The sequence below is a fragment of the Homo sapiens genome, chromosome 4, assembly GCF_000001405.40.
Source record: "Homo sapiens chromosome 4, GRCh38.p14 Primary Assembly".
NCBI classification, from domain to species: Eukaryota; Metazoa; Chordata; class Mammalia; order Primates; family Hominidae; genus Homo; species Homo sapiens.
This window is the reverse complement of record NC_000004.12, coordinates 169,205,141-169,231,483: the sequence shown is the minus strand read 5'-3', so window position 1 is coordinate 169,231,483 and position 26,343 is coordinate 169,205,141. Positions and strand designations below refer to the sequence as shown.

At 38.6% G+C, this 26,343-nt stretch overlaps 1 protein-coding gene across 1 annotated transcript in view, besides 3 other annotated features; it reads left to right on the top strand.

Moving 5' to 3' along the window:
• Positions 1-26,343, top strand: part of SH3RF1 (SH3 domain containing ring finger 1) — a 176,698-nt gene that overhangs the window by 39,473 nt on the left and 110,882 nt on the right. The gene's annotated exons all lie outside the window — the stretch shown is intronic.
• Positions 1,322-2,001: an enhancer, noted in NCBI's record as "OCT4-NANOG hESC enhancer chr4:170150634-170151313 (GRCh37/hg19 assembly coordinates)". NCBI's record gives its function as "activates a minimal SCP1, AML or CMV promoter by ChIP-STARR-seq in naive H9 embryonic stem cells {active_cell/tissue: H9 hESC(naive)}" and the evidence as "EXISTENCE:reporter gene assay evidence [ECO:0000049][PMID:30033119]".
• Positions 5,188-6,387: an enhancer, noted in NCBI's record as "P300/CBP strongly-dependent group 1 enhancer chr4:170146248-170147447 (GRCh37/hg19 assembly coordinates)". NCBI's record gives its function as "activates an origin of replication core promoter dependent on BRD2, BRD4, P300/CBP, MED14 and CDK7 cofactors, with strong dependence on P300/CBP, by STARR-seq in HCT116 cells {active_cell/tissue: HCT116}" and the evidence as "EXISTENCE:reporter gene assay evidence [ECO:0000049][PMID:35650434]".
• Positions 20,491-20,540: an enhancer, noted in NCBI's record as "active region_22132". NCBI's record gives its function as "activates an Ori minimal core promoter by ATAC-STARR-seq in GM12878 lymphoblastoid cells {active_cell/tissue: GM12878}" and the evidence as "EXISTENCE:reporter gene assay evidence [ECO:0000049][PMID:35858748]".

Genomic DNA, 26,343 nt, shown 5'->3' with positions numbered 1-26,343 from the left:
AGCGATTCTCCAGCCTCAGCCTCCTGAGTAGCTGGGATTACAGCCATGCGCCATGACGTCTGGCTAATTTTTGTATTTTTAGTAGAGACTGGGTTTCACCATATTGGTCAGGCTGGTCTCGAACTCCTGACCTCGTGATCTGCCTGCCTTGGCCCCCCAAAGTGCTGGGATTACAGGCATGAGCCACCACACCCAACTTATTTTCCTTTTTATTTATGAGTAACAAATTTGGGATAACAAACATGACCAGAAAAAGTATAGTAAGAACAACAATAATGTAATAATGGGCCACATTTGTGGAATGCTTATGTACCAGTACTATTCTAAGTGCCTTGTATACTTTAACCCAGTTAATTCTCACAACAACCCCATGAGGTAAGTATTACGACCACCTTCTATTTACAGATGAAGAAACTTGGGCTCTGGGAAGGTAAGTAGCCTTCCTATGCCCTAGCACCGGTGGCCTTTTCGTTACATTTTAGCACCTCACAGGAGTGGACCAAGACACTGTTTTTCAACCTTTTGAGCCTATTGTTTATACTTGAGGGCTATAAACTTAAAAAATAATTGTCATTTTAATAGAATTTTTTAGAGGGGGACTCAGTAATTTTTTTTTTTTTTTTTTTTTGAGGTGGTTTCTCACTCTGTCATCTACGCTGGAGTGCAATGGCACGATCTCAGCTCACTGCAACCTCTGCCTCCTGGGTTCAAATGATTCTCCTTCAGCTTCCTGAGTAGCTGGGACTACAGGTGTGTGCCACCACGCCCAGCTAATTTGTGTATTTTTAGTAGAGATGGAGTTTCACCATGTTGGCCAGGCTGGTCTTGAACTCCTGACCTCAGGTGATCTGCCCATCTTGGCCTCCCAAAGTGATGGGAATACAGGTGTGAGTCACTGCGCCCACGTGGAATCAGTGATATTTGAATAATTGATACTTAATATTTTTAGCTTTGAGATTTTTTATTTTAGATTGAAATATTTCTATTTTTTATAGAAAAACAAATGAAAACTAAAGGAAATTTCCCATCTCTTTAGAATTAACCTTAATTCCTTTTAATTGAGTATTTATTACTCTGTATGAAGGAAAAAACATTTTGAAATGCTTTTCATAAATCTGTCTCTTGCTTATGTGTAGTGGATGGGGCATCCACGGCTCTATTTGAGGGTCAGTATTTTGAATCAGATACATTTGGATTCTTTATAAACATGGGTAGGTTCATTTAGCTGTGCACCATTTAAAGTCATATTGAATTAAACATTGTTTTTTATTTTATTTTTATTTTTGAGACAGAGTCTCATTTAGTGGCCCAGGCTGGAGCAGCGTGATCTTGGCTCACTGCAGCCTCCGCCCCTGGGTTCAAGCAGTCTCCTGCCTCGGCCTCCCGAGTAGCTGGGATTACAGGCATGCACCACCACGCCTGGCTAATTTTTGTATTTATAGTAGAGACTGGGTTTCACCATGTTGACCAGGCTAGTCTCGAACTCCTGACCTCAAGTGATCCACCCGTCTCCACCTCCTAAAGTGTTGGGATTACAGGCATGAGCCACCTCGCCTGGCCAAGCATTGTTTTTTAAAGGACCCACTCATGTAAATACAATTAGAGACAGCAGGAGCCTTTTCATATTTGTGTTGTTTCAAGTAGATTTTAATTGTAGTTGCAATTTGGCATTGATTTGACATTTGATATTTGAAATGCCTTTCATCCGTCGTATACTCTCAGGAGCATAAAGTGGGGCTGGTTTTGTTCCCAGTTGTGATGAGTAAGCTGTGGGGCTTACTCATGAGTAATACTCTGTGGAGATATGCTCTACATTAGTATTCACTTCTCACTTTCTTGCCTCAGCCCAGGTTATTTATAGGGATGTTAGGAAAACGTTCTGAAAACAGTGATGTTAAACAAAGTTAGAGGACTTTTAACACTTAGTATGCATTGTGACCCTCTAAAAGAGAGGCATGGTATACGTCCTTTTCCAAATGTATGTGGCCACCGAATAGGTTTTTTTTTTGGGTGGGGGGGTGGTATACCAATTTATGTTTCCAGGTGTTCTAAGGAACACAATTTGGGACACAAAAAAAAAGACATCATGTGTTGTACAATAAAGTATTATATTTAGATTGCTGTTTTGAAGAGTCAGAAAATTCTTCCTCTGATTGTTATTAAAGAAGGTGACCTACAAAAGTATTGGAGAATTGGGTTAAGTTTGACAAAAGAACTGTTTTTAATTAAATTCAAATGTTAATTATTCTAGGTAAGTCTCAATAAAAAAGGAATTATAAAGATGAGTTCAGTTTTCCACAAGCCACTGCACTCCAGCCTGGGCCGCAGAACAAGATCCTGTCTCAAAACAGAAAACAAAAAGCAAAACAAAACTCTTAAGTATGATTATATTACGTATCAAACCCTGTAAACTAAAAGAGCTCTTTCCTGGTGAGACTGTCATGCCTTTTTTTAAAAAAATAAATCAGGTTAAGCTGTTTTCAGGTTTGCACTCTTGGAACCATCTGGAATTTGTTTGTTTGTTTGTTTGTTTTTCGAAGAACAGAATTTTTTTTGTTTTTTTAAAGTAAAATTCTAACATTACAAAATTATAGGAGACACTTGTGGAAGTATTCATTAGAATTAGTCTAGAATTATCAAATTAGGGCAGGGAAATCTAAAAAACTTTTGGGTATGGGTGTGGTATATGTCTGTGAGTCTGTATGAAAAATAAAATAGAAAGTGTACTGATGGATGATTCCATGCTGCAGTAGGCAGACTAATGTGTCATTCCCTTTCCCTCCCCTCAAGATGTTTACATCCTAATCCCCAGAGCCGTGTGTTATTACATGGCAAAGAGTTAAGGTTGCTAATCAGCTGACCTGGAGAGGAGATGATGATCCTGGGTTATTTGGATGAGTCCAGTGTAATCACTGGGGCTTTTAGAAGTGGAATAGCGAGGCAGAAGACAAGGTCCGAGTGATGTTATGTGATGAGGAACTCAACCTCCTGTTGAAGATGGAGGAAGGGGCCCCAAGGCAAGTGATGCAGGCAGCCTCTGGAAGCTGGAAAAGGCAAGAAAACAGATTTTTCCCCTAGAACCTCCAGAAAAAAAACACAGCGCTGCCAACACCTTGATTTTAGCTCAGAGAGACCCATTTTGTACTCTGACCTCCAGAACTGCAAGATAACAAATTTGTGTTATCTTAAGCCATGAAGTTTGTGCTAATTTGTTACAGCAGCTGTGGGAAACACATGTCTACTGAAATGTGTTTAGATGGTCTACTTGTGTTTGAAGACTATCTGCCTGTGTAGGCAATATTTTCTAGTGCAGATTTTTAATTCTTGCAGAAGGTATACATTTAGAATATGTACTTAATATATATTCTATTCAATGATGGTCTGCTCACTGTTCCTGGAAACAGCTGAAAAAGTAGAATAGGGAGGTAACTACGTGAACAAAAATAGTAGTTAAAAATGCGTTATGTTGCTTTTATAGGAAATGAAATCCTTAATAAAATTCAGTTCAGGCATTTGGGATTCTGAATCACTTCATGACTGTGATTTGTAGAGTTCCCTTCATTCGCTCTTGTGACATTATTTTGAAAAATTTCTCTTCCTGAATTGAAAAATGCAATAAACTCTGTTCTCGTGTCCAGGGATGGTACATCTTCCTGTGGGAAATTCCACTGTCTATCCCGTAGCCCTTTGACATTCCTCTTAAAAGTAACTGGGTCTGGCTTCGATGGGCACTGTTCTATGGTTGTAGATAATGTGGTCTTTCTACCTGTAAGTTGTTTCCAGGCCACTGGTAGAGAAAGGCACACAGAGAGAGTAATTGTAGATCAGTATGGTAGTATAGTAAAATAAATAATGCATAGATGTTATGGAACACCCCAGGGATCCCAGCTACCCCTGCCAAATGTTGTTTCAGAATATCAAATGCTAATTCAGATTTTAAACATTCTATTGCTGTGGGCTCCATTACAAGTTCTAAAGCATAAATTCCAACTCTATGCCTGATACCTGTTAAGACAACTACATATTTTTGTAGTCCATGGATAGTACATGAATCACTTTGTCATGTACCTATCAGTGAAAGATGAAATATTTGGTGATAAATACAGCTTATTCAAGAGGAACATTTTTCAAATGCACATAAGAGAGAATAGTTGTTTTTCATTTGCCATTTCAAAATTTTTAGTGTTTAATTCAGAGTTTTTTGGAAATAGGTTATTGATTGATGTTATAGTCTAATGATTTTTGTTATTTCCCATTCTTATCATTTTCTAATTGGAATTAATTAAACTCTTGGTTCTTTCTTATGTGTTTTTTTTTCAAGGCAGGGTGTTGCTCTGTCACCCGGGCTGGAGTACAGTGGCATGATCACAGCTTACTGAAGCCTCAACCTCCTGGGCTCAAGCAATCCTCCTGCCTCAGCCTCCCGAGTATTTAGGACTAGAGATTTGTGCCCCGACGCCTGGCTAGTTTTTCACTTTTTATAGAGATGGGGTCTTGTTATGTTGACCAGGGTGGTCTCAAACTCTTGGCCCCAAGTGATCCTCCCACCTCAGCCTACCAAAGTGCTGGGATTACAGGCATAAGCCACTATGCCTGGCCTCTTATGTATTTTTAAAAGCAGTTAGGTGACTGAGGTAGTACAATTTAGATTTAGAATTAGGTGACTAATGCTAGGCTAACACATTCAATTCATCATCCCAATCACAGTTATTATAAGACTTTAGCTTCACTGACAGTTTTGGCATACTGTGTAAAATAGATTTACAAAGATAGGTTTTATTATCTACAATAGTTTCCTATAAAATTGATGGTGCACTGTGGCCAATTTTTAAAAAAGCTACTGACCTAAAGTCATTTGCTGCTGTTGTGTGCCTTTCTGTATCTCCCTTTCTAGGGGGGTAAGGAATGGTTAAATGAGATTAGCATGGGCTTTGATGATCTCATTAATTACTTAGTTTATGTATTCTGATCTTTCTTGCTCTTTTTTTTTTTTCTTTAAATCAGGCTCCCTCAAATTTTTCTTCATTATAACATTCCATGTATTTTGCTTTTCACTGCTGTGGAATGGTAGTGTTATGGTGACCAGGAAAACCTTGATATGTAGACACGACAACTGTGATGAAAAGCAGAATGCTTTTGATTTATGAATTTGCAACTGAATTATAAATGTCAAGTGACTGTGAAAGACAAACCAAGTGGGAGTTTAAATTAATTTCAGAAACAAAATATACTCTTTTATCTATAGCGTGATTTGCATTGTCTGGGGGGTTCTTCATTCACTTACCAAAGGTACTTATCCACCTACCTCTTTCATTCATATTAAGTGCACTAAACAAAAGAGACAAACTATGAGTCACAACATTTGGTTGTTCTGATGTCACGACATTAAGTAGAATAATGGCATTAGTCAGAATATTGTTTCTCCTAGAAGTGGTTATCAGAAGTGTGTTGCTATATATATAATAGCTTTATTCATTGTCTCTTCTGTTGTGTTTAAGGGGGCTGTCAGCAACATGGCAGCCACTGCTTGATCATCTTCCCTTATCTGCCAGAGGAACAGGTGTCTCTTCCTCTTTCTAAGGGTAACATGTCTCTGCTCATCTCTTCTGTTTTCTTGTCGTTGGTGGGTCATATCATCCTGCAACTTCAATCTCTCCACTGGATTCTGCTCTTTAAGCTCTGCAAGTTAACTATTTTTACTTTTAAGACACACACACTCACCCAACCTACCCTCAACTCTGCTACTCCTTCAAGCTACCATCACTTTTATCACTTTCCTTTTATAACCAATCCTTGAAAAATAGTGTAGGCTCATCCACATTTCCTCAGACTGACTCACTTCCTTTAACATTGCAGTCACCTTTCTGTCTTGATGAAACTGCAGTCTTGACAGTCTCCAGACTCTCTTAGTCACTAAATCCATTGGCCTTTTACCCAGTTTACCCTCCTTTACATCTGTGCTTTTAACCCTCTTGCACACAGCATGATTCTTGAAATGACTTCCCTTCCTCATGTCCCTAGCGTTCTATCTAAGGTGTTTTGTGAGGTCTGCCTTTTCTCTGGTGGTGATCCTCTTTCCGTCTCGTGACTTTAGGGGTCACCATCTTGCTGATAACTCCCAAACAATTGCCTCCAGCCCTCACTTGTGCTGGAGCTCTGGTTCCACAAATCCAGCTGACTTTTCCTACCTGTGAAGTTGGCCAGCATTCAAACCTAATATGTCTGAAGCCGAAGCAGGTCATACTACCTTCCTTTTCAAATCCTCTTCTCCTTTCATGATGCTTTGCTTTGGTCATGTCCCTGTCATCCCTCTGTTGCCCAGGGTTAAATCTCAGGGTCAGCTGGTCATTAACTGGCACTAACCTTGTCTTGGTAATACCTTTTGAATTCATCAATGCAGAGCTTTGCTCTCTTTACTCCCAGGCATGTGGTAATTGGTCTCTCTCTGTCTGAGCTGGTCTCCCTCTTTTTAGTCTCTCTTCTTTCCCAACTGCTGTTGGATTACTCTGCTTAAAGTATAAAACCCTTGGGCACCCTGTTACAGAATGAGACTCGATGTCCCTTAGGCTGGCTTTCTAGGCCCCCAGGGAATCTGGCCCCAATTTTCCATTCCAGCCTCATGTTTGACTTCCCCTCTTCAATACTCTGCTCTAGCTAGGTGAAGCCACATTAGGCAAATCCTGATGGCTCAGTCTTCAAGATCTCCCTCATCTTATTACATCTGAGCACCTACCCAAGCCAAGCTGTCATAATCTCCTGCATTACTGCAGTAGTCTTGTTCCTGGTTACCCCTGCAGCTACTGTTATCCCCTGGAGCCAGTTTTCCATATAGTAGACAGAGACATTTTTTAAAGATAGAAATTAGAGGTCGGTGGTGGTGGTTCACGCCTGTAATCCCAGCACTTTGGGAGGCCGAGGCAGGCAGATCACCTGAGGTCAGGAGTTCGAGACCAGCCTGGCCAACATGGCAAAACCCCGTCTCTACTAAAAATACAAAAATTAGCCAGGCATGGTGGCGCGAGCCTGTAATCCCAGCTACTTGGGAGGCTAAGGCAGGAGAATCACTTGAACCCAGGAGGTGGAGGTTGCAGTGAGCCAAGATCGCACCATTGCACTCCAGCCTGGACCACAGAGCAAGACTCCATTTCAAAAAAAAAAAAAATAGGAAATTAGATCATGGCCTTCTAGAAATAGGCAATATGCCATTTCCTCTGTTTATAGCTCTCTACTGGCTTCTTCCTTACACTTAGAACAAAATCATATTTATGACCACAAGGCCATACAGGATCTGTCTCAGTGGTTCTCAGTGGGATGTACTGCCTGCTTCCTGTCCCTCATAGGAGTGTTTAGAAATTAGTGGAGCTTCTAAATTGTTACAAGGACAGTACTGTTGGCATTTAGTGCCACAAGGGCCATGATGCTAAATACAACAAGACCACAGTATTCTGCCCCAAATGTCAATGGTGCCTTTAAGGAGAAACATTCATTCTTACCTGTACTTATCTTTCCAGCAACATCTCTTACCTCTTTGATTCACGTATTTTCTTCCAGCTACACTGGCCTTCTAGCTGTTCTTAAATATGCCCAACTGTTCTGCCCCAGGGTTTTTGCCTGTGCTTTTTTGGCTCCCTTCCTTAGGATCACCTCTTCCACACTTGAATCCAGTCTCTGCTCACATATCACATTCTTATTGATTACCTATCTCCACCCACTGTGCTCTTACCCTGGTTTATTTTTATTTGCGCTTATCACAACCTGAAATTAACTTCTATAATTATTTGTTGATATGCTTGCCCATCACCCCATTAGAAAGTAAGCTCCTTTAGATATTTGAACATGGAAAGAAGGACATAATTTTTAAAAAAGAAAGTAAGCTCCAAGCAATCAGTGACTGTCTGTCTTATTCATGGTGTGTCGTGGTGTATCCCCCACATCTGGGACCATATGTTCAGTAAACATTCGTTGTCTGAATGAGTGAGCGGATGTCTCTTCCCTGCCTGCCTCATGCTCTGGTTTCCCTCTCTTTTCTTAACTATCCATAGTGTACTTTATTTGCATCTCTAATTCCTACCCATCCTTTTAGGGCCATTTTAGCCACCACCCCTTTCACATTGCCTTCTCTGATCTTGCCAGTGCCTCAGAACTCTCATAGAATGTGATGTGTATTTCTTATTATATGTGCTGCATTTTGTGGAGAGGTGTGGTGGCTTATATTTCTATCTTCCCTTCTGATCCATGCTTAGTGGCCATTGCATGTTACTATCCCTACATGTTGAGTGCAGCACCTTGCACTTGATGAGGGTCTGTTACCTGTCAATGGAATGAATAGATGTTCTTTTATATCTTCCTGGCAGAAAGGCCCCAGGAAGGTCCAGGGTCAGTGCCTTAAAGTGAGTCTGCGTGTTGGAGGACTGATGCCACTTGGGAAGGCAGAGGAAGTTGGAGGCAATGTCACATGTGTTTCCCGCCTTGTGAAGAGCTGCAGCTGGGCAAACCACGAGGGGTGCCACATGGTGCCTCATAAAAATCCATGCGAGGACAGGGGTGCTGTCCACACAGGCATTTATAGCCGCCCATTTGGCTTCATAGACAGCTGAGAACTTGCCATTTTAGAACTGAGTTTTCTTAGCTGAACTCATGTATTGGAAGTGTCGTTGGGAGCAGGAAGGAATAAACATGTTCCATTAAAGTTAAAGTGTCACAAAATAGAGAGTTGTTAACATAAGTTCTTTCTCAGTTTTAGTTGTAAAATGCATTTTAGAAGGTGAAAGATTAACAAGGGAAGCAATAAACTGACTGAAATTTGTCCTCAGATTACTATTCCACTTTTATTGAAGGAGACTTTGTTATTATTTTGTTACAGTATTTATCTTAACAATGTTATTAATTTGGAATGAAATTCTATTATCTTAAATTCCTCTTAGGAAGTTGTCAAAATATACAGAACAGTTAATGATTTATATATATATATAAATATGTATAAAAATATATATATAAAATACATATATATGTATTTTTTAGACCGAGTCTCAGCTCTGTCACCCAGGCTGGAGTGTAGTGGTGCAATCTCAGTTCACTGCAACCTCCACCTCCCAGGTTCAAGCAGTTCTCCTGCGTCAGCCTCCCAAGTAGCTGTGACTACAGGTGTCTGCTACCATGCCTGGCTAATTTTTTGTATTTTTAGTAGAGACGGGGTTTCACCATGTTGGCCAGGCTGATCTCCAACTCCCGATCTCAAGTGATCTACCTGCCTCGGCCTCCCAAAGTGCTAGGATTACAGGCGTAAGCCACCATGACCAGCCTATTGATTTATAATTTAAGAGCATATTATAATTGTCACATTGCTGATTTTCTATTGCAGTATCTTTGCTTTGAGCAGAAGATAAGCCTACATTTAAGAAAACCCAAAAAGGTGGTTTGAATGTATATTATTATTACATAGTAGACACCTACACTTGATAATGTATAGATGTTCAAGGAAAAACTATTAGTAGTGTTTTTTTGGGATGGATGAGGGGAACGAAGACTTACTTTGAGAAGTTTGTATTACATAGTCTATTATTACTTTAGTCTATCCAGTTAAGCAAAAAGGTTATACTTTAGCTTAGCAGTTCACTGTTTGTACTGTGTAACGATTTTGGATCTTTACATAGCCTGCTAATAAAAGGCTATCAGAGTTGTAGAATTCAGATATTACGTAAGTGATGAATTTTAAAATTCAGGGCAAATTTTATGGGGTAAAAGATGAAGTGTTTTGTCATCTAGGATTTAGCAGTTAACTTTTTTTTATTATCAGACATAAAATATGTTGCCTTTATTTTATAGATTACAAGGTATGTTATAAGGAGCATAGTGTTTATATGTTAAAATGAAGTGCTATCATAAAGAACGTTTTAGCCTAATGCATGTCTTTGATTGAACTTTCTTTTCCAATGTTAATGTTTTCAAACTTTTCTCGGAACTGAGTTGTTGGTGTAACTGATTATGGTATATCTTATGTTATACACTATTTTTCTTTCATAGGGATCAGACCCAGCAAGTTGAGTAATTTTAAGAGTTTTATTTTTGTGGAAACTAGGTCTTAAAAGTACTTCCAACCCCATGTCATCTGGAAGAGGACTCAGCTGGTTGATCGTCTATCACAGTTTGTTGGAGAGACCTATTTTTTTTTTACATTCAGATGCTTCTCAGAGTTCTGTTTATAAACATTGTCAGGAGCAGAGAGTGTTAGGGATCTTCCACTTGAAAGAAAAATGACAAAAAGAATAAAATCACTACTTGACTTGCCTGCGGTTTTGTGTTCAGCCTTTCGTCTTAATGCTATTGAGGATTACTCTTGCTCACTAGAGAGCACAGAATGATGTTGTGTCAGCAAATCGAAAACAGTATAAAATGCTATGTGCGCCTCTCATTTCTGATTAACTACTTGAGACCTTTTCACATTAAAGTTTAGTTGTGTTCAACTCTTTCGACACGAGAGTTCAAAGACCATGTACTTTTAACTAAACCAGAATTGTTTGTCTGCTAAACTTCTGCCTTGAAGGCAAATTTAACCTGTGCCTGATCTTTAATCTCATTAATTTTAACAAAAATCATGACCTCTTCAATGACTTTGTTTTTGGAAATTATAAATACTAACCTAATACAATGTATGAATTTTTAGATTTTTACTCCGGATTGCATTTCCATGTAATTTCACATTCCTGTGTACATTACACACCAGTGAATAGTAACAGATTGTTAGTATGTTCAAGCTTTGTGTTGCATGGTGGTAACTATAGAGTTTGCGGGTCAGTTGTTTGACAGAGGAATCCAGTACAGTGAAAGCTAATCCCATTGGAGCTGGGTGCCCAGGTGCCCAGACTGCTGGAAGTGGGGCAGGATTGGGAATTGCTAAAATCTCTCCGAAGGCCAGGCAGGGGTTGCTCTCATGGAAGAAAGCAAGTGTTCCCCACCCACAACACCTTCCCCACTCCCTAGTCCACACTTGCCAAAATATGCACTCTAAATGTACTAGAAAAAGGAAAATTTATCCTGTGGAGGAGAGGATCAAACAGAAGTTCATTCGGTTCTTTCATTTTTGACCGAGGAAAGCTAGCGTGAATGTTTAATCACAGAACTTGCGAAGGAACATGTATTTAAAATGAAATTTATTCTTCTTCAATCTTCATGTGAAGTGTCAGCTAGCTGTGGACACCACTTGACATTTTTTTTCCAGTTATGATTAAAAGAAGTTCATAGAAAAGAAGGAAATACATGTGAATTTAAATTTCATTATTAAAGCAGTCAAAATTATGCACATTTTATAACAAAACTATTCCTTGCATTAGTTACTCTTTTCTAAGTTACCTATAGACAATGAAAAATGAGGCATGTTGGTAGACAGATGATTCACTTTGACTGATTGGAAACAATTTTGGTATTTCTTTGCAGCAAAACCCACATTTCTGCTTTCTCTTTTCTTTTTTTCTCTCTTCTGTCTTTCCTGTAATTTAGAGTACCACACGCTAGTTTGTACTGATCGCCTGGAAGTTGATTGCTAATAACAAACTGTCTATCCAAGTATCATTTTAGTCATTTGAGACAAAATAAAAATCTAGGAATAAAAAGCATGACATTTAAGTGAATAACGATTGCATACAGGGCGACATGTAAATAATTGATTTTCTAATAATTAATGAGAGAAAGTAGTAGAGGGATAAAAATGAAGAAGTATTCTCACCTACAAAATTTATAAACCCCTGGTTTGAACAGCAAGAATGCATGAATACAGTTCTTGAGTTTGAGTTCTTTGAGTAATTAGAGCAGCTGTCTACTGGCCCTCTGCCTGCAAATAGGCCTGAAGGAAATACAAAACAGTAGACAAGGAAGAACAAACACAAGCTGCTCCTTATACACCATCCCTCAAATATTTGGTTAGAGATCTCAGAGGAGAGTACATTAGTTTTGGGGGTTTTTGGTTTTTTTTGTAAGCGAATAATCTCTGATAGCTTTGAAATAGTTTCTTTTAGGAGGAAAAACCTGAAAATAAAGTAATGACTCCTTTATTGGAAGTAAGGTGTTGTCATGGGTGAATATATACCTAACTGGAGTTTGTTACGCCAAATACCAGAGCCCTTTTTAAATTTCTGTAATTTTTATTAAATACTTTCTTGAATACATCAAGTATTCCTTATATTGATTGAACAGAAACGATTTGGCATAAATTAACCCTCTCCTGATGATTTAGGGTTGCCAGTATGTATACTCATTATTGCACCTTGTCTTAATACAGACTCTGGGGTTTTCTCTGTCTTCTGTAAAGGTCAGTTGTTCCTTCTTCCACTGTTCTTATGCTTGCGTCTATCAGCTCCTCATTGTAATTTTTTTGTGAGTTGGGAAATCAGATAGTTAAGCTTACTGTGAATTCTCTGTTATGTAAGAAAGGGTTATTAAGGAGTTTGAGTCTGGTAACTTTTTGGGAAGTTGTATTTGGAGGGAGGAATCATGATTCTTTGCATATTTTAGAGAGCAAAGTCTGTTAAGAAGTCTGACTGCTAAATACTGTAAATTATTTATTGAATATATTGAAGGTACCTTGAATGAATCATTGACTCCTAATTACTTAAAGCAAAATTTTACTCCTGGATTACTTTTACTTAACATTTTTTATTCTTAAATGCTTCTTTCCATTAATGAATCAGTTAATTCATGTATTTATTGAGTATGATGCTACCTAGTTTGCATACCTGTATATGTATTTCAGCACTAGCTTTCACCAGCTATAAAAAGGCAGTAATGCTGCTCTAATTCTTAAATTAGTCTTTGGCTGTATCTGCATTTTAGATTGAGATGGTGGTGTTCACTTTTGGTCCCTGGTCTGCAGCTGCCCTTCCCTGTGAGTGACTGAATCTTATCCCCAGGCTCTCCTGGCTCCAGGGAAAGGGTAAAAGGAGTTTTTGCACCAGGCCAGTGTTTTGCTTTTGTTTTGGGGGCAAATATATATATACTATATATAAAATATATAATATATTTATATTATATATATTATATAACATGTATTATATTCTATATTCTATAATATATATTTATATTCTATATTCTATATTCTATAATATATATATTCTATATTCTATATATTATATAATATATATTTATATTCTATATTCTATAATCTGTATTCTATATTCTATATTCTATATTTATATTATATATTATATATTATATATTTATATTCTATATTATATATAAACATATTCTATATTATAGACAGAATATGTTTATATTATATTATATATTATATTATATTTACATATATTACACATATCATTAACATATATTGATATATGTATAATCAATATATAATAATATATATTACACACTTGCATACATATACATTTAAGATAAAAATGACTATATCAAACTCAGTTCTGATGCAAACCCTGGCTACTGCTTATTCCCCATAGGGATAATAGCATTCACATTTAAATTAATTTCTTGCTGGAAGTTCAATCTAAAAGAATATTATTTGTGTTGTGATGATTTGGAAAACCATAGGAATGTTCTCAGGGAAATTGAAGAGACCCAGTGGCTTAGATCAATGAAGCTGGAAAACATTTTTTCCCTCATTAAACTTTTTTTTGTTTTTTGGTAAAATGTGCATAAGACTTAACATTTTAAAGTATACGGTTCTGTGGCATTAAGTACATTCACATTGTTGAGCGACCATCACTAGCCAGAATCCATCTATAGAGTTTTTTTAGCTTCCCCAGCTAAAACTCTGTATCCATTAAACAGTAACTCCCTATTCCCTTCTCCCAGGCCAATGTTTTATTCCTCATATCTGATGCTCAGCTAGCCAGGACCTTGTAGTCCTTTGCCTTATTCCTTTGTCCAGAACCCCTGGTTTAGTAACTTGTCTTGTACACCTTTCAGGTTTAGGCTTTTCTTTCTGTCTCTAGTACTTCCTATTCTTTCAGTTACCCGAGTTCCAGACTCGTGTCCTGGGCCCTTTTGCCAACTGACTTTCCTTGATTTTGTCTCCCGTTACCTGCCTTGATTTCCTGTTTCTCTGACCTGGTGACACACATTTCTGATGGTGACAGCTTTGTTGGACCAGTTCTCTGTTGCCCAGTGACAAGCTTTGGTGTTCTGCTCGTTGGCTTCTAGATTTCTTCCCAGGTCCGTCCGCTCTTCCCACAATTGCCTTTACCTCTGGGTCAGGTCTAGTGCTAGTCCTGTCAAGCCAACCCAGCTCAGGGTGTTGAACCAAGCCTTGTCTGACTATATAAGAAATAGCAAGAAAATTTTAAATTTCAAACTCACTTTTTTTTTTTTTTTTTTGAGACAGGGTCTCACTTTGTCACCCAGCTGGAGTGCAATAGCATGGTCTTGGCTCACTGAAGCCTCAACCTCCTGGGCTCAAGCGATCTTCTCACCTCAGCTCCCCAAGTAGCTGGGACTACAGACATGTACCACCACACCTGGCTGGTTTTTTTTTTTTTTTTTGTAATTTTTGTAGAGATGGGGTTTCGCCATGTTGCTCAGGCTGGTCTCAAACTCCTGAGCTCAAGTGATCCGCCTGCCTCGGCCTCCCAAAGTGCTAGGATTAAAGGCATGAGCCACTGCGCCTAGCCCAAACTCACTTTTTAAAAATGGAAGACCATGGGAAGTGTACTGCATGAGGTACTAGATAGTATTTTGCTTTATTATAAGTTATAATGTTGAAAAATGAAATATCAAATTGTCAAAAATATAAATAGAAGGAAAAATACTGAAGACAATTAACTAGCTTTCTAAAAATTATTTTTGAATTAGTGATTTTTGAGTGAGATGGGGGTCTCACTTCATCACCTAGGCTGGTCTCAAACCACTGGGCTCAACTGATTTTTCCACCTCAGCTTCCCATAGTTCTCGGACTATAGAGGTGAGCAACCATTCCTGGCGGAGAAAGCATTTCTTATTTCTGAACAGACATTTATGTGCTCCATGGTAGTAAATGCATAGATTTTATTTATCCTCACAACAACAATAAAAGGAGCAAGAACAGTTATGGAAAATTTTAGCCAGAAAATATATCTCAAAATCTTCTAGAAAAAAATTAAAAATAGCTGAATATCTTTAATTTAGGTCTCATGAAGACAAATAATGAAAATTTTTAAATGCTTAAACTTCATAATTTACAATTATAATTTCTAAAACATTATAATTTCCAATTTTTTCGAAGCTTTTTCAGAATATAGACTTTTATTTTTATTTCTTTATTTCTTTTTTTCCAAATGTGTTATAACAAACTAAGAATATGGACTTCTAAAGATTCAATAGTAATATTTTGCCTGCCTTAAACTACTGATACAAATATAGCTAACATATATCACAGATACTACATTACCTGACTATTAGGCTGGGCATGGTGGCTCATGCCTATAATCCCACCACTTTGGGAGGCCAAGGTGGGCAGATCTCTTGAGCTCAGGAGTTCAAGACCAGCCTGGGCAACAGGACAAAACCTTGTCTCTACAAAAAATACAAAAATTAACCAGGCATGGTGGTGTGTGCCAGTGGTCCCAGCCGCTTGGGGGGTTGAGGCAGCAGGATTGTTTGAGCTCAGGAGGTTGAGGCTGCAGTGAGCCATGATTGCACCACTGCACCCCAGCCTGTGCGATGAAGTGAGACCCTTCACGCTTCACACACACAGGAAGTTACAAACAAGCAAACGAAAAAAAAAACAAAAAATACATTACTTGACTATTAGAAAACAAATTAGTATCCCACATATTTATAGATAATAAATCTGTGAATTTGATGTTTCTGAGAGAAATATAATGAAACTTCAATAATAAACAAAACTAAGGGAAGTGAAGAGACAATCTGTATAGGTCTATATTTATTAAAGAGATTTAATCAGTAATTAATAGCCTTCCAAAACAAATCCCCAGGCCCAGATGTGATGAATTCTACCAAACACTGAAGGAAGAAATTATACCAACTCTCTACAGTCTCTTTCAGAAGATAGATGCAGAGGGAATACTTTGTAACTTACTGTATGAGGCCAGCATTAACCTAATACCAAAACCAGATAAAGACATTACAAGAAAAGGAACTGCAATATCTGTCATGAACATAGGTGTATAAGTCTTACCAAAATATTGTCAAATCAAATGCAACAATGTATAAAAGAATTATACACAATGACCAAATGGAATTTATCCTAAGTATGCAAGGCTGGTTCAGTATTGAAAAATCAATTAATGTAATCCATCACAGCAACAAACTAAAGAAGAAAAACTATATGGTCATACCAGTAGATGCAGAATTTGACCAAATTCAACACCCATTCTTGATAAAAACTGGCAGTAAACTAGCAATAGAGGGGACTACCTCAACTTGATAAGAAAAAAAATTTACCCCAAATCCTACAGATAACAACATACTTAATGGAGAAAAGAGAAGCTTTCTCATTAAGGTAAGGAACAAGACAAGGATGTCCCCTCTCACCACTTTTTTTCAACATTATACAGGAAGTCCTAGCTAATGTTATAAGACAAAGAAAAGAAAAGGTATAAAGATTGGGAAGGAAGAAATAAAAATGTCTGTTTACAGAGGACATGATAATATACGTAGAAAATCCAAAAGAATTGACAACAAAACTCCTGAAAGTTTTTTTAGTCCTTATTAGTCAATTAGCAAGGTTGAAGGATACAAGGTTAATACACAAAAGCCAATCACTTTTCTATATGGCATCAACAAATGAAACTAGAAGTTAAAAACACATTGCCATTTACATTAGCACCTAAAAGAATGAATACTTATATATATATACACATATATATGGACCTATATACTTATAGCTATAAAGCTAACAAAACATGCAATATCTGTGCAAGGAAAACTACAAAAATCCGATGAAAGAAATAAAAAACAAATGAGAGATAATCCACATTCATGGATAGGAAGGCTCAATATTGTCAAGATGTCAGTTTTTTTCCCAACTTGATCTATAGATTCAACACAATCCCAATCAAAATCCAAACAAGTTGTTTTGTGGATGTTTTAGTCCATTTTTGCATCACTATAAAGGAATATCTGAGGCTGGGTAATTTATAAAGAAAAAAAGGTTTAATTGGCTCACAGTCCTGCAGGCTGTACTGGAAGCATGGTGCCGGCATCTGCCTGGCTTCTGGTGAGGCCTCAGGGAGCTTTTACTCATGGCAGACAATGAAGTGGGAGCAGGTACCTCACATGGCAAGAGCAGAAGCAAGAGAGTGAGGGAGGAGGTGCCACACACTTTTAAACAGCCAGATCTCGTGAGAGCTCACTCATTATTGCAAGGACAGTACCAAGCTACTCATAAGAGGTGCGCCCCCATGACCCAAACACTTCCCTCGAGGCCCCACCTCCAACATTGAGGATTACATTTCAACATGAGATTTGGAGGGGACAGACATCCAAACTATATCAGTGTATATTGACAAACTGATTCTGAAGTTTATATGAAGAGGCAAAAGCCCCATAATAGCCTACACAATATTGAAGGAGAAAAACAAAGAGGACTCACACCATCCAACTTCAAGACTTACTGTAAAGCTACAGCAATCAAGCCAGTGTGGTGTTGGTGAAAGAAAGACAAACCAGATTAATGAACTAGATTAGAGAGCCCAGAAATAGACTCACATAAATATAGTCAAGTGACCTTTTGTCAAAGGAGCAAAAATAATAGAATGGAGAAAAGACAGTGTTTTCAACAAATGGCTGCTGGAGTAACTGGACATTCAAATGCAAACAATGAATCTAGAAACAGACGTTATACTCTTCACAAAAATTAATTCAAAATGGACCACAGATCTAAATGTAAAACACAAAACTATGAAACTCCAAGAAGAGAAAATCTGGATGAACTTAGATTTGGTGGTGACATTTTAGATGCATTCTAAAGGCACAGTATATGAAAGAAACATTCGATAAGCTGAAATTCATTAAAGTTAAAAACTCTGCTCTGCAAAAGACACTGTCAAGAGAATATGAGGCAAGTTACAGACTAGGAGAAAATATTTGTGAAAGATATATCTGATAAAAGACTGTTAGCTAAAATGTACAATGTACAAAGAACTGTTAAAACTCAATAGTAAGAAAATGAACCATTGGATTGAAAAATGGGCAAAAGACCTGAACAGACACTTCACCAAAGTAGATATACATATGGCATATGAAAAGATGCTTCACACACATGTCATTAGGGAATGCAGATTAAAGTGAGCTACCACCAGGTACCTATTAGAATGACAGAAATCCAGAACACTGACAACACTAAATGCTGGTGAGAATGTGGATCAACAGGAATTCTCATTCATTGCAGGTGGAAATGCAGAATGGTACAGTCACTTTGGAAGACAATTTGGCAGTCTCTTACAAAACGAAACATACTCTTACTATATGATCTAGTGCATTGCTTGGTGTTTGCCTAAGTTAGTCGAAAACTTATGTCTTTACAAAAACCTGCACATGGATATTTATAACAGCTTTACTCATAACTGCCAAAACTTGGAAGCAACCAAAATGTCCTTTGAACTATATTACATTCTGGAAAAAGCAAAACTATGAGACAGTAAAAAGATCAGTGGTTGCCAGAAGTTAAGGGGCAGGGAGAATGAGTAAGTTGAGCACGCAGGATTTTTTTGAACACTGAAATTATGCTGTATGGTTCTGTAATGGTGGATACATGTGATTAAACATTTTTCCAAAACCATGGCATAGAACACCAAGAGGGAACCCTGATATAAACTGTGGACTTAGGTTGATGATGCTTGTCAATGTAGGTTCACTGATTGTAAGAAATGTACCCCTTTGGTTAGGGATATTGATTGTAGGAGAGGCTGTGCTTGTCTGTGTTTAGGAGTATATGGGAACTCTCTGTACTTCCTGCTCAGTTTTGCTGTGAACCTAAAACTGCTGTAAAAGAGTCTTTTTAAAAGGGAAAAAAATGGAAGGAAATTATGAAAAGGGAAAAAACATATAGATACTTGCTTAAATATTAAAAAGTCCTGGGATTATTGTGTCATTCTCTTGTATCAAGCCAGAAAGTTTTACTTTTTCTTTGTAATTGATTAAATATTTCAGAGAATCTTTTAGAAATTAGAAAATAGTCCAGGCGCGGTGGCTCACGCCTGTAATCCTGGCATTTTGGGAGGCTGAGGCAGGCAGATCACCTGAGGTCGGGAGATTAAGACCAGCCTGACCAACATGGAGAAACCCTGTCTCTACTAAAAATACAAAATCAGCTGGGCATGGTGGCACATGCTTGTAATCCCAGCTACTTGGGAGGCTGAGGCAGGAGAATCGCTTGAACCCGGGAGGCGGGGGTTGCAGTGAGCTGATATCGTGCCATTGCACTCCAGCCTGGGCAATAAGAGCAAAACTCTGTCTCAAAAAAAAAAAAAAAAAAAAAAAAGAAAAGAAAAGAAAAAAAAATTAGAAAACAAGATCTTATAGAAACCTTTATTACTTCCAACATTATTAACAAAAAACTAAGTAATGGAATGGCAGGTGAAATGATTAGTTACATTTGGGAAAAAACATGTAACAGTGACTTTTGCAATTTTTCTGATATTTTCATTACATTGAAAAGCCCCCTCTCCAAGAGATGGTGTCAGGAGTGCAGTTATCCAGATGGTGACTTGGGATGGAGTCAGTGTGATGTGCCAGTTTGATTGGCATCTGACAGATTCTCTGACATATACTGAAATAAAACTTGAGAATATTTTCATCCATAAACCACACACATACATTCACACATCTGTATCTAGGCTTTAATTGTTCATAACACTTCCCCCCTTTTAATTATGAAAAATGCTCTAGAAGCACGCAGGCCTTCATTTGAATTGTACTAAGTACAGTTTAGACTCGTCCCTTATTCATAGTAGACAAGTGCTATTGCGATAACCTGCTTATTCTCAGTTCTCCAGGGAGAGGTGGTAGCTTGGCGTTCTTTGATTTAGTTTCTTCTTCTTTTTTTTTTTTTTTTTTTGAGACGGAGTCTCGCTCTGTTGCCCAGGCTGGAGTACAGTGGCCCAATCTCAGCTCACTACAAGCTCCGCCTCCCGGGTTCATGCCATTCTCCTGCCTCAGCCTCCCAAGTAGCTGGGGCTACAGGCGTCTGCCACCACGCCCAGCTAATTCTTTATATTTTTAGTAGAGACAGGGTTTCACTGTGTTAGCCAGGATGGTCTCGATCTCCTGAACTCATGATCTGCCCGCCTTGGCCTCCCAAAGTGCTGGGATTACAGGCATGAGCCACCGTGCTCAACACCGTGCCCGGCTAGTTTCTTCTTTGGAGAATGGGTCATAATACTAAATCCTGCTCACCAAAGGTCAGTAGAGATATTTTATGGGATTTTGGGTTTAAGGATATAAGTGTTTTGTCTTTTGTCCTTATTTGCATTGTTCTATAAAAATAAATATGTTTTGAGGAAGTGAGGTTTTTTGAGAGCATTAAAGCTGCATCACAAAAATTAAGTAATAATTATGCTAAATTATGCATGTGTTAAAAGTGAAACCTTAGACAAGCTAAATTGTGTAAAGAACAATTTGCAAATCGGGAAGTCCCTGAGCCAGAATAGGTTGAGAGAGACTCCGGCTCTGTGCATGGTTGAAGGTTTGTGGACAGAGAGAGGAAAGTGATGTACAGAAAATGGAACTGAGGTACAGAAACAACTGTCTTCATTATAGCTTGATGTTTTGAACCTTATTTGAATATGATATTGGAACAGCCTTTAATTGGCTGAAACTCAGTGATTGACACAAGGGTAGTTTACAGTCTTTTTACACATCCAGTCAGGTCACAGTCGACTATGCATGGAGACACTTTTAGGCAGAACCTAAAATATGTAAGGAGGCCACTTTAGGCTAAACTTAATTTAACATGTTATTATGAAAAGAAAATATTTTGCATACATAATTTACATAAATGTAATTCTATTTTAGTAGGGTTTTATTTAATTTTAAAAGAGGCTTACACCACTTTTGGAAGTGATAGATTAAAATCTGCATAATGTTTCACTGTAATTTATAGAATTAGCATTTACTCAGATTTTTCAATCATTCTACAAATAATCATAGGTTAAAGCATATCTGGAGTATGAGCCAAGTAGTCATATAAGGTGTTTTGTCTTCATGTGAATTAGAAGGTAAAGTTCAGTTTTCAAATGCAAATAATTCTTCATTATAAGATGATGCAAATATGTAAGGGAAATGAATATTGAAAGGAGAGTAGGAGGGAAGGGCAAGAGGAGAGAAGGGTAAAATAGCAGAAAGACTCCAGATGGAGTTGAGGAGGAGATGCATTAGTGAGAGAGGAAGGCAGGAAAGGACCTATCAGAATAGAGGTTTGAGAACTAATAAAATGGCGTGTAGAGTCCAGGCATGGTGCCTCATGCCTGTGGTGCCACCATTTTGGGAGGCCAAGACAGGCATATTGCTTGAGCTCAGGAGTTTGAGACCAGCCTGGGCAACATGGCGAACCCCATCTCTACAAAAAAACACAAATACAAAAATTAACTGGGTGTGGTGATGCGTGCCTGTAGTCCCAGCTACTTGGGTGACTAGGGAGAGAGGATCGCTTGAGCCTGAGAGGTCAAGGCTGCAGTGAGCCGTGATTGTGTCATTGCACTCCAGCCTGGGCAACAGAGTGAGACCCTGTCTCCAAAAATAAAAGAAAGGGCATGAAGAAAAAGCAGTTAACATTTATTGCATGGCATGAATTGCACCAACACTTTCCGGTACATTACAGTGTTATCTATCTTCTTATCTTCATTTTACAGATAAGCAAACTTGAGTATATTTATGTCACAGTGTGAGTTAATGGTGGGACCAGGGTTTGAACTTATATTGTTTACTTTTCTAATAGTGCTTACTGACTCTCACCATGAGCTAATGTTGATACTGAAAATACTGCAATTACAAGCAAGATATGGTCCCTGTCCTCACTCTGTTATTCCAGTAGGGAAGGTGGACTGTTAACTATTTAATTACAGCCCACGAGGATAGGTGCTGTAGGATGAGGAATGTAGTAGGAGAGTTCCCGGGGGACGATACCTTAAACTGACTTGGCATCAGGGAAAGCATCCCGGATGAAGTGGATCCTTATCTGAGAACTGAAGGACAAGTTGGCTGAAAGGACACTCTTTTTCTATAACTTGCTGCCTCATTTTTTTTTTTTTTTCGGACAGGGTCTTGTTCTGTCACTCAGGCTGGAGTGCAGTGGCATGATCTCAGCTCACTGCAACCTCCGCCTCCTGGGTTCAAGCGATTCTCCTGCCTCATCCTCCTGAGTAGCTGGGATCACAGGTGCGTGCCACCGTGTCTGGCTGATTTTTGTATTTTTAGTAGAGATGGGGTTTCACCATGTTGGCCAGGCTGGTCTCGAACTTCTGACCTCAAGTGATCACCTTCCTCAGCCTCCCAAAGTGCTGGGATTACAGGCGTGAGCCACCACGCCCTGTCCTACTGCCTCATTTTTTATTTTGTTTGGTGTGTTTTTCATCTTTTGTCTCATTTTCTTTCTTTTCTTTTTTTTCTTTTTTTCAGTCCCTTGCTTATTTTTTTAGTCACAGTAACTATCTTGAGAAAAGTTCTCAAATCTTTATTCATGCCCAGGGGTTTCTGCGTAGGCCCACTCCTACTTCTTGGCTTTCCCTTGAATTACAAAGGACTTGAAATGAATGTTGGGTAGCTTTCCAGGAGCTGGACCTGAATGAAGGAGGCAGAGAGATAAGGCAAGCCTGATGCAGCTTCAGACTAGATGTTTGATGCCAAGCCTGATGCAGCTTCAGACTAGATGTTTGATGCCTGATTCAAAACTCAGTGTGTGTCATCTCCTCTTCTCCTTGGGGCACTAAGACAGAGTGAAATTGGTATAACTAAGATGACTAATTGCCTTTTAGATTATATGTTCTTAATTTAGTAATTAGGAATGAAAACAATTATTTATTATTATATCATACACATACACTCATATTTTTAAGAAACATTTGTGTCTGTCCTACTAAAAAGAAGTATAATTTTATCACAGTAGGACTTAATTTTCATCTTTTCTCCCCTACCCATTGCTGCTTCCTTTGCCTATTACAAGACTTTCTTTAGGCATATGATTAAAAGTGAGAGGGAAAATGAGGGCACAATGTGTTCCAGTGGGCAACAAAAGGATGAATGAAATTCCTATAGAAGATAAAGTGGGTGGAAGGGCAGAGGTCATTTAAACTCTGGACAGAAACGGCTATTACTTGGGGTCAGGCAGTGGGGGTGGGGATGAAGGAGGGTTAGTGAAGGAATGTGGTTTCCTTTTAGGAAAAAAAAAAAAAACTTGAGGACTTAAATAAGCAATTCTGGGTTCAATCTTTACGTTTCCACGTATGCTTTTATTTTAGTATGTTTCATGTTACCTAGTGCATAGCATCCTACCCCCAGATGTGGAAGCCTGGCAAAGTAGAGTCTATGCTCATTCAATTTTGTTTTGGTTCCCATCCCCCTCATCCCAGGACCCTGCTTCTCTCTTTGGTGCAGGATCCCCCCACCCCTACTGACACCCCCCATGGTGTCATTAGGCCTGTGATCTGAGTCCAGCTCTGTGGGGAGAGGTTTGCTTCTGTGAGGACCCTTTAGAAAGTGGCACCTGTATAAACAACTGTCTCTTGTCCTCTGCTGAGTCTTGGCTTTTGACATAGTAGACAAGGAGTTAAGAAAAAGGGAGCTTTCTAAACAAGTGTCTTACGTAGATGTAGATTGACTGGGACTGGCCCAGCCATCACATTCTAGAGTTGGGTTTATCTTCATAGCAAAGCTCGAAGCATCCAGAACCTGGACTGCCTCAAGAATGAGAAAGACCACTGCAGAGCTGACCACATACTATGGACAGAATTCTAGTCTTGGCAGTTCTTCTTAGGGTATTGTTGATTCAGAGGCCAGAGTGTAATCCTAAAAGGTTTTGGTATATGACTTGTTTTAAAATGTAGGAATTTTGGTTTAGCAAATGGTATAATATCCAGAAATTAGATCTCATTTCTCTTTAAAATTACTTATTTATTTGAGACAGGGTCTCACTCAGTCACCTAGACTGGAGCACAGTGGCACGATCATGGCTCACTGTAACCTTAAACTCTTGGGCTCAAGTGACCCTCTTGCCTTAGCTTCCCAAGTAACTAGGAGTACAGGAGCATGCCACCATGCCTGACTAATTCTTTTATTTTTTGTAGAGGTGGCGTCTTTTGGCCAGGCTCTTATTATCCCAGCCTGTTGGGAGGCTGAGGCAGGAGGATTGCTTGAGCTTAGGAGTTTGAGACCAGCCTGCGCAACCTAGCAAAACCTTGTCTCTGCTTTAGAGAAAAAAGTTAGCCAGGCATGGTAGCACCCACTTGTAGCCCCGCTATTTGGGAGGCTGAGGTGGGAGGATAGCTTGAGCCTGGGAGATCAAGGCTGCAGTGAGCTACAATCATGCTATTGCACTCCAGCCTGGGTGACGAGTGAAACCCTGTCTCAAAAAAAAAAGAGAAATGGGGTCTTACTATGTTGTTCATGCCAGTATTGAACTCTTGGCTTCAAGTGATCCCAGTTCTGCCTCCCAAAGTGCTAGAATTACAGGCATGAGCCACTGAACCTGGCCTCTTTCTTTTTATAATAGATAATTCTCTATTCATTTTGTCATTGACCTTATTGGTTCTTTATTTCCCACTGGTAAAATGAATGCAACGCTACATGTCATTTTCTTATGTCTCCCATGGCTTGTGTGTTTTCCTCTGTGCACCCTATAAAGGTTAGACCTTTGATGCACCCAAGGTATCCTGTTAGCTTGGGGCAGGGATTCTCTGTATAATTTATCTTTGTAGCAGCAGTGATGAACACTGCACATAATAAGCACTTGTCCCAAATGTTTCTTGACTTCACTTATTTAAAGTGAATCCCTTGATGGACTTTTTTTGTTTTTATATAATTTTTAAAAATTTTTTATGGAGACGGAGTCTCACCATGTTGCATAGGCTGGTTTCAAACTCCTGGCTTCAAGCCATCCTCCCACCTTGGCTTCCCAAAGTACTGGAATTATGGGTGTGAACCACCCCCCTTCCCCCAGCCCCTTGAATGGATATTAGACTCTAGGGCAGTGCTGGCAAACTCCTAGGTGGGCGTGGGTCACTAAATGATTGCAAAGGGGGATGAATCCAGTGGGACTTCAAATATCCATTTTAGATTGAATCATGTGTGGCATGCTAAGATATCATTTTCAAATATTTAGAAGTGCTGTCATTTATAGCAGTGAAGATTCCATAGGTTTTATCATATTTTCCTAATGTTCTCTTGAGAGTTGTGATATGCAAGAGATGCTCTTTAGCACCACTGTTCTAAAATCCTTGAAATTATTGATCTTGAAAGAGACTTTTCTTTGTCACTAATGTTTGCATTTGCTGTGTTCCCCAGTTTTATCACTATGTATTCCATTTAAAACTATCAGTTAAAAATATGAATATATTGTTTTTGTGATGTTAGCAGTGAAGGAGAGAACCAGTTGTAAAAGGCCCAAAATGTAAATGTCCCCAATGAGCCAAAAATTGCTTTTTTCATAGGCTATTTTTGCCAAGGATTTGAAATCTCCTTTGGATACATGTTTGTTTTCTCAAGTCAGGATATGGGTTTTGTACATGTCTATATCTGTGGTTGAGAAATTCTTTAAATATTCCTGGGGTCTCTTTTGCTTTCCTTGAGTCAGAAAAATTTCATTGTGTTGGTATGGTACGTTGGTAAATTTCAAGAAAGGGAAAGAGAAATTTATTAGTCCTGCTAACGTCATTCATTGGGCTCCTTCCAGAGTGAAAAAATATGCTGAAGATTTTCTGACAGGTGCGTATTTGTCAACACTTTAATGAGAGCAAATGGGAAAAAAGAACCCAAGAAGGATATGCTCAGTGCTGCACTGTGCTCTGGAGTTCAGGGCAGGCAGTATGTTGACATGCCTGGAAATTGGCCTGCAGTTTTTGGTGATTTGATCTTATTTTTACAAAATCAGTTATTAATATAAAAGAGATAGCACTTGGGAGAGTTGCCATGCTTATTACTACCTTATCAGTGGGATTACAAAAATATAAATTAGTTTTTATGATAGAAATCTGACAAGTCATTTCTGTTTCTCCAAAGACATACACATGTGGTGTTAATTTTGACCTGATTCATAGGTCCTCTGATACCCTAACACACAAAAAGCATATGCAAAAAAGCTAGACTTATTGGCATTAACTTTCTTCCAGCTCTTGCCAACAAAGAAATACTATGTACAAAATCTGAATCTGGTTTCAAAACAAATGTCAGAATTTTAAAACACTGGAT